Raw genomic sequence first — 7,777 nt, forward strand, 5'->3', positions numbered from 1 at the left:
AGTGACTCCATCTCTAAAAAAAATTTAAAAAAATAAAAAATAAAAAAAAGACCCTAGATGAAGCTGCAACACGTTCTAGCTTCCTGCCTATATGCAACGCTGAGTGTTTTTGTTTTTGTTGTTGTTGTCTGAGACAGAGTTCGCTTTTTGTTGCCCAGACTGGAGTGCAGTGGCATGATCTCGGCTCACTGCAACCTCCGCCTCCTGGGTTCAAGCGATTCTTGTCTCAGCCTCCCGAGTAGCTGGTATTACAGGTGCCCGCCACCACGCCCGGCTCATTTTTGTATTTTTAGCAGAGATGGGGTTTCACCATGTTGGCCAGGCTGGTCTTGAACTCCTGACTTCAGGTGATCCACCTGCCTCATCCTCCCAAAGTGCTGGGATTTCAGGTGTGAGCCACTGTGCCCAGCCTACTCTGAGTTTTATCGGGTGACCTTGCCCCTGTTTGGCCTGCCCAGCCCCAGCCAGTTTCTGACCATGACTGTCCCCGCAGCCATGGAGTGTCCAGCAGGTACCATATATCAGAGCTGTATGACACCCTGCCCAGCATCCTGTGCCAACCTGGCAGACCCCGGGGACTGCGAGGGCCCCTGCGTGGAAGGCTGCGCCAGCATCCCAGGCTATGCCTACAGTGGCACCCAGAGCCTCCCCTGGCTGACTGTGGCTGCACCAGCAATGGCATCTACTACCAGGTCTGAGCTGGCAGCAGGAGGCCCTGGGGAGCAGAGGCGCCAAGGAGAGCCAGACCAGGGATGGAACTGGAACGTCTCCTCCTGGCCCTTCCCCTTTCTAGCTGGGCAGCAGCTTTCTGACTGAGGACTGCTCTCAGCGGTGCACCTGTGCCAGCTCACGGATCCTGCTGTGTGAGCCCTTCAGCTGCAGAGCGGGGGAGGTCTGCACCCTGGGGAACCACACCCAAGGCTGCTTTCCAGGTGAACCTGCACTCCTGCCCGGTTCCAAGCTGCCCCATGCCCTGGGGCGTCCATGGACCAAGGATCGTCCCCTCCTTGTCCTCAGGACTCTTCCACATTGATTTCAGGATGTCTGTCCCTGCCTTTGTAGGGAGGGACAAAGGACAAAGATCTCCCGATCCCTAAGCATCCATGACCTACCGAATCCTTCCCTAGCGTTCCTTCCCATGATCTCCTTCAGCCCTGATGGTTAGCACAGCACTCCTAATTTATACATAACAAACATGGAGTTCAGAGAGGTTAAGCAGTTTCCTGCTGGGCGTGGGTGACTCATGCCTGTAATCCCAGCATTTTTGGAGGTGAGGTGGGCGAATTGCTTTGAGCTCAGGAGTTCAAGATCAGCCTGGGCAATATAGGGAGACATCGTCTCTACTAAAAATTAAAGAAAAAAAGAGCTGAGTGTGGTGGTGCACTCCTGTAGTCTCAGCTACTTGGAAGCTGAGGTGGGAAGATCACTTAAGCCCAAGAAATTGAGGCTACAGTGAGCTATAATTGTGCCACTGCACTCCAGCCTGGGTGACAGAGTGAGATCTTGTCTCAAAAAAGAAGAGAAGAGAAGGGAGGAGGGGAGGGCAGGGGAGGGGAGGAAAGGAAGGGAGGGAGGAGAGGGGAGAGGAGAGGAAGGGAGAGGAGGGGAGAAGGAGGGAAGGAGAGAAGGAGGGAGGAAAGGAGGAAGAAAGGAAGAGAGGAAGGAAGAGATGAAAGAGTTTCAAAGGAAGGAAGTTTCCCCAAAGCCCAGGGCTAGTGAGGCAGGGTTGGGAGCCAGGCTGGCTGACCCCTGGCCAGTCTCTGGCAGCCGCTGCTTTCTCCCCGGGCGTCCCAGCCCCCAGCCAGGCCTTCCCTCAGCTGGGAGTGTCCTCCCAGGGCCCCCCTCCCACAACCCTCTCTGTCCTTGCAGAAAGCCCGTGTCTGCAGAACCCCTGTCAGAATGACGGGCAGTGTCGGGAGCAGGGAGCCACCTTCACCTGCGAGTGTGAAGTTGGTTACGGGGGAGGCCTGTGTATGGAGCCTCGAGATGCGCCACCTCCCAGAAAGCCAGGTGAGGGCATCGTCCAAGGCCCTGTACCCTCACAACCTCTTCCTGGCCGACAACCACAGAATGATTCTATATGTATTATATTCACATATAGAATGATATGTATTATAATATTATGTTACAGATATTATATATTATAAACATAACAATTTGTAGCTATAATGGATATTAATATATTAATATATCTTGTATATTAATTATCTATTTATATATTACATATATTATTATAGTAGGAATTATAATATAATCCCTAGAAATTCGCAGGACAAGCATCCTCAAAAAACCAGTCCTGGCCGGGAATGGTGGCTCACGCCTGTAATCCCAGCACTTTGGGAGGCTGAGGTGGGCGGATCACGAGGTCAGGAGATGGAGACCATTCTGGCTAACGAAGTGAAACCCCGTCTCTACTAAAAATACAAAAAGTTAGCCGGGTGTGGTGGTGTGCGCCTGTAGTCCCAGCTACTCGGGAGGCTGAGGCAGGAGAATCACTTGAACCTGGGAGGTGGAGGTTGCAGTGAGCCAAGATCAAGCCACTGCACTCCAGCCTGGGTGACAGAGCAAGACTCCATCTAAAAAAAAATAAAAAAATAAAAAAAAATTAGCTGGGTATGGTGGTGCACAGCTGTAATCCCAGCTACTCAGAGGCTGAGGCACGAGACCCGCTTGAACCCGGGAGGCAGAGGTTGCAGTGAGCTAAGATCACGCTACTGCGCTCCAGCCTGGGCGACCAAGACTCCATCTCAAAAAAAACAAAAAACAAAAACCAAAAACAAAACAAAAAACTAGTTCCTGTGCCCATCTCCTACCTATATACTGTGAAATCTTCTCTCTGAAGCCCAGCTCCCCACTCCTGTGACCTGTATCTCTCACCCCTGCTGCTTCCTCCTCCTGTGTCCTTCTGTGCCTCTCCAGCACCTTCCATTGTCCTTTCCTATCCCAAACTACAATTCCCATGGGCTTCTGGGCCAGTGGTTCTCCAGCTTTATCTTGCCTAAGATTGAAGACGGGGTAACTTGTGTACATGTATATTCCAGGACACACTCTGAAAGATCAGATTTGGTAGGTCTGGAGTGGGCCCAGGAATCTGCTTTTTTTTTTTTTTTTTTTGAGTCTTGGTCTGTTGCCCAGGCTGGAGTGCAGTGGCGTGATCTCGGCTCACTGCAACCTCCACCTCCCGGGTTCAAGTGATTCTCCTGTCTCAGCCTCCTGAGTAGCTGGGATTACAGGCGCCGGCCACCACGCCCGGCTATTTTTGTATTTTTAGTAGGGATGGGGTTTCGCCATGTTGGCCAGGTTGGTCTGAAACTCCTGACCTCAGGTGATCCTGCCACCTTGGCCTCCCAAAGTGCTGGGATTACAGGCGTGAGCCTTTGTGCCCAACCAGAATCTGCATTTTCAACAAGGGCCCAGGAAACTATGGAAGTGACTCCAGGGCTACTCTTTGAGAAATGCTGGCTGAGATGACACCTGGACTCTAGGGGACCTAAGAGAAACAGCTGCCCACCTAAATAGGCTTAAGGGAGGGCAGGCGTGGTGGTTCATGCCTGTAATTTCAGGACTTTGGGAGGCCAAGGCGGGAGGATCACTTGAGCCAGGAGTTCAAGACCAGCCTGGTAACATAGCAAGACCCCATCTCTACAAAAAATCACGAAAATTAACCGGGTGTGGTGGCATGTGCCCATAGTCCCAGCTACTTGGAAAGCAGGCTGAGGGGGAGGATTGCTTGAGCCCAGGAGTTCAAGGCTGCAGAAAGCTATGATCGCACCACTGCACTCCAGCCTGAGCAATAGAGCCAGACTCTGTCTAAAAAGGCTTATGGCAAACAGAAAACATTGCGGGGGTTGGGGAGGGGGCACTAAGACCTTGGAGTCCCTGGAGGTGAGAACCTCCTGGAGGAAGAAGCAGACACACCTAGAGATTTAGAGAGATGAGGTCCCCTGGGGTAGCAAGCAATCCCCAAAAGGGAGTACCCCTCAGTCCCCACCCTTCCCGTCTCACGTTCGACCTAATGTCTCTTCCCCGCACCCAGAAGCATCTAACCTGGTGGGCGTCCTACTGGGACTGCTGGTGCCTGTGGTGGTCGTACTACTGGCCGTGACCAGAGAGTGCATTTACAGAACGAGGAGGAAGAGGTGAGTCCTGGGAAGGAGAGAGGAAGGGCGGGTGGGGTGTGCAAACCGGGAAGCGGCTGGGCCCGTAAAGGGCCACTTGGGGACCCATGTCTATTCCCCCATGCCTTCTAGAGAGAAAACGCAGGAGGGAGACAGACTGGCCAGGCTGGTGGACACAGGTGAGAACCAACCCCACAGCCCGGAACCTCGGGGCCTAGAGTTGAGTCTCCTCTCATACATGGTTTTCTTGCTTTCTCCTCAGATACTGTTCTGGACTGTGCCTGTTAAGTTGCTCAGTTTTGAGCTGTCTTCAGACAAGAAGATTAAATAAATTTATATATTTATTTATTTGAGACAGGGTCTTGCTCTGTCGCCAGGCTGGAGTGCAGTGGCACGATCACAGCTCACTGCAGCCTCAACCTCCTGGGCCTCCTGCCTCAGCCTCCTGGGTAGCTGAGACTGCAGGCATGCGTCACCACGAAGGCTAAATTTTAACATTTTTGTTTTTGTAGAGATGGGGGCGGGTCTCACTATGTAGCCCAGGCTGGTCTCAAACTCCTGGCCTCCAGCAATCCTCCCGCCTTGGCCTTCCAGAGCCCTGTGATTACAGGCATGAGCCATGGTGTCTGGCCAAAATTATTTATTTTTGTTTCAGTTTTTTGTTGAGATGGAGTCTCGCTCTGTCTCCCAGGCTGGAGTACAGTGGTGTGATCTCTGTTCACTGCAACCTCCACCTCCTGGGTTCAAGCGATTCTCCTGCCTCAGCCTCCTGAGTAGATGGGATTACAAGTACACACCACCTTGCCTGGCTAATTTCTGTATTTTTAGTAGAGACGAGGTTTCGCCATGTTGGCCAAGCTGGTCTCGAACTCCTGACCTCAAGTGATCTGCCCGACTTGGCCTCCCAAAGTGCTGGGATTATAGGCATGAGCCACCACGCCTGGCCCAAAATTATGTATTTTTGAGACGTGAATGTCCACATGATTATAGTGGAGGAAGTTGGGTCTTGGAGGGAGGAAAATGAGGGAGAGAGGCACGTGGAGGCCTAGGTAGGGCTGGGTTCTGTGCAAAATGTCTAGAGGGGAGAGGAACCTAGGTTTGAGGTGAGGGTGTTGTCCCTTAGAGAAAGCCACATGCGGGTGGCACATTCAGTCCCGGCGAGGCTGACATCACTAGGGGAGACAGAAGGAGCAGGGAGGGCAGAAGGAACAGGGCGGGCAGGGGAATGGAGGGTGGGATGCAGCCCCAGACCCTCGGCTTCTGATTTAGGAGAAGACTTCACCTCAGGAATCCGAGTGCTTAGAGGACGTGGCCTCTGGCTCCCCACCAAGGTGATTCTGAGAAATTTTACATGTCAAGTACAGACTAAGGTTGGGGAATGTGGCTTTTTTTTCTTTTTCTTTTTTTTTAGAGACAAGGTCTCACTCTGTTGCCCAGGCTAGAGTGTAGTGGTGCAGTCATAGCTCACTGCAGCCTTGACCCCCGGGGCTCAAACGATCCTCCCATCTCAGCCTCCTGAGTAGCTGGGACTACAGGCATGCACCACTACGCCTGGCTAATTTTGATATTTTTTAGAAGAGATAGGGTCTCACTATGTTGCCTAAACTGGTCTTGAACTCCTGGGCTCAAAGAGCTCAGCCTGCCTCCACCTCCCAAAGTACAAGGAATACACGTGACCACCTTACCCAGCCAAACGTGGCCTGCCCGCCTTTCCTTCCTTCCTTCCTTCCCTCCTTCCTTCCTTCCTCCATCCTTTCCTCCCTCCTTCCCTTCCTTTTCTTCCTCTTACTCTCTCCTTCCTTCGTTTTTCCTTCCTTCCTTCCTTCCTTCCTTCCTTCCTTCCTTTCTCCCTCCCTCCCTCCCTCTCTCTCTCTCTCTCTCTGTTTTCTTTCTTTCTCTCTCCCCTCTGTCCCTCCCTTCCTTATTTAGAGACAGGTGCTTCCTCTGTTACCCAGGCTGGAGTGCAGTGGCGCAATCATAGTTCACCCCCCAAAGTCCCTCCCACACCTCCTCGAGGGAACAAAACATGGGTGATGTGTCACCAAGGGAAGAGGGGACAGAGGACTCAAGAGCCCGAGGGACCCCAGAAGAGGGCTGTAGAGGTGAGAAATTGAGGGCAAGTCTCCCTGGGCTGGGAAGGGCCCAAGCTGTGATTTGGGGTCCAGCACTGACACAAACACGACAACAGGGGGCGACTGAGGTGCAGAAGTGGAAAAAGCAGGTCGGGCGTGGTGTAATCCCAGCGCCTTGGGAGGCTGAGGGGGAGGACTGCTTGAGGCCAGGAGTTTGAGATCAACCTGGGCAACATTATGAGGCCCCCTGTCTCTACAAAGAATAAAACATCAGCTGGGCATGGTGGCGTGCGCCTGGAGGATTCCCAACTACTCAGGAGGCTGAGATGGGAGCTTGAATTCTTGGGCTCAAGCCTCAGCCTCTCAAGTAGCCAGGACTATAGGCGCATGTCACCACGTCCTGGCTAAAAAAAGTGGCTTTTTCCAAAAAAAGCAAATCAGCCTGTGACCCTCTGGAGAGGCCCCCACCCCCGGTATTCCTCCATTTTCCAAAAGGGGCTAGGGGTTACTGAGGGCGGGGTCTGGGGTCTGGGTTGCTGAAGAATTCTGACCTCTATCCTACTAGGAGTGACCCACTCACCCCAGCCTGAGGCCAAGGTGCAAACATCCCGCCCCCTCCCTCGGGACCTCTGCCTCCCATCAGGCAGGTCCTTGCTTGGAAGTGGGGGCTGGGACGTCTTGCTTGTGCTCTAAGAAGGAAGGCTTGCTGGGTGCGGTGGCTCACACCTGTAATCCCAGCACTTTGGGAGGCCGAGGCGGGCGGATCACGAGGTCAGGAGATCGAGACCATGCTGGCTAACACGGTGAAACCCCATCTCTACTAAAAATACAAAAAAAAATTAGCCGGGTGTGGCAGCTGGCGCCTGTAGTCCCAGCTACTCAGGAAGCTGAGGCAGGAGAATGGCGTGAACCCGGGAGACAGAGCTTGCAGTGAGCTGAGATCGTGCCACTGGAAGGAATGGAAGGCTGCCAATTGGGCTGGGGGAAGATCAGGATGTAGGACCCCAAAGGGGATTTGGGTTTGGGGATGTCAAAACGGAGGACAGGCTGGGTGTGGTGGCTCACGCCTGTAATCCCAGTGCTTTGGGAGGCTGAGGAGGGAGAATTGCTTGAGATCAGGAGTTGGAGACCAGCTTGAGCAACATAGCGAGTCCCTGTCTCTACAAAAATGTAAAGAATTATTGGGTGACTGAGGCGGGAGGATTGTTTGAACCCAGGAGTTCCAAGCTGCAGTGAGCTATGACTGCACCACTGCACTCCAGCCTGGGCAACAGAACGAGACCCTGTCTCTAAAGAAACAACCAACCAACCAACCAACCAGGGAGGATACTGAGTTCTAGAAATGTGTTATACTCTGCGCTTATCCTCTGGGATGACACGCCCTGAGGTCACCTTTATGGGAATGAAGCAAGACCCAAACCCGGGAAGGGAGGGTCCTGCCCAGCGAGACTCTCCCTTGCCCTAGCTGGAAGAGCATTCATGGTGGGGAGCTGGATGTGGCAGGAAGGCTCAGGGCAGCCTGGAGCTCTTGGGGCTGGACCTCAGGGGGCTTCTGCAGCCCCCTGCCCTGACCCCAGCTCCCCACAC

At 53.2% G+C, this 7,777-nt stretch overlaps 1 protein-coding gene across 5 annotated transcripts in view, besides 3 other annotated features; it reads left to right on the forward strand.

Moving 5' to 3' along the window:
• ZAN (zonadhesin) overlaps positions 1-4,471 on the forward strand; it is a 64,203-nt gene extending 59,732 nt beyond the window's left edge. For 2 of the 5 annotated variants that reach the window (NR_111917.2, NM_003386.3), the window contains exons 43-48: positions 494-692; positions 794-932; positions 1,870-2,010; positions 4,040-4,139; positions 4,251-4,297; positions 4,381-4,471. Coding sequence is in view for 2 of the 5 variants with exons in the window: in NM_003386.3 (NP_003377.2) it covers positions 494-692; positions 794-932; positions 1,870-2,010; positions 4,040-4,139; positions 4,251-4,297; positions 4,381-4,406 (652 nt within the window). In the remaining 3 variants the exon portion in view is untranslated. The remainder of the gene's footprint in view (positions 1-493; positions 693-793; positions 933-1,869; positions 2,011-4,039; positions 4,140-4,250; positions 4,298-4,380) is intronic. The other 3 variants (NR_111918.2, NR_111919.2, NM_173059.3) reach the window with 2 other exon arrangements.
• Positions 701-1,248: an enhancer, noted in NCBI's record as "NANOG-H3K4me1 hESC enhancer chr7:100391649-100392196 (GRCh37/hg19 assembly coordinates)". NCBI's record gives its function as "activates a minimal SCP1, AML or CMV promoter by ChIP-STARR-seq in naive H9 embryonic stem cells {active_cell/tissue: H9 hESC(naive)}" and the evidence as "EXISTENCE:reporter gene assay evidence [ECO:0000049][PMID:30033119]".
• Positions 6,137-6,196: an enhancer, noted in NCBI's record as "active region_26385". NCBI's record gives its function as "activates an Ori minimal core promoter by ATAC-STARR-seq in GM12878 lymphoblastoid cells {active_cell/tissue: GM12878}" and the evidence as "EXISTENCE:reporter gene assay evidence [ECO:0000049][PMID:35858748]".
• Positions 6,201-6,495: a silencer, noted in NCBI's record as "tiled region #9506; K562 Repressive DNase unmatched - State 12:CtcfO". NCBI's record gives its function as "represses a minimal TATA promoter and a strong SV40 promoter by Sharpr-MPRA in K562 cells {active_cell/tissue: K562}" and the evidence as "EXISTENCE:reporter gene assay evidence [ECO:0000049][PMID:27701403]".

This window comes from Homo sapiens, chromosome 7 (genome assembly GCF_000001405.40).
Source record: "Homo sapiens chromosome 7, GRCh38.p14 Primary Assembly".
In the NCBI taxonomy this organism is placed as follows: domain Eukaryota; kingdom Metazoa; phylum Chordata; class Mammalia; order Primates; family Hominidae; genus Homo; species Homo sapiens.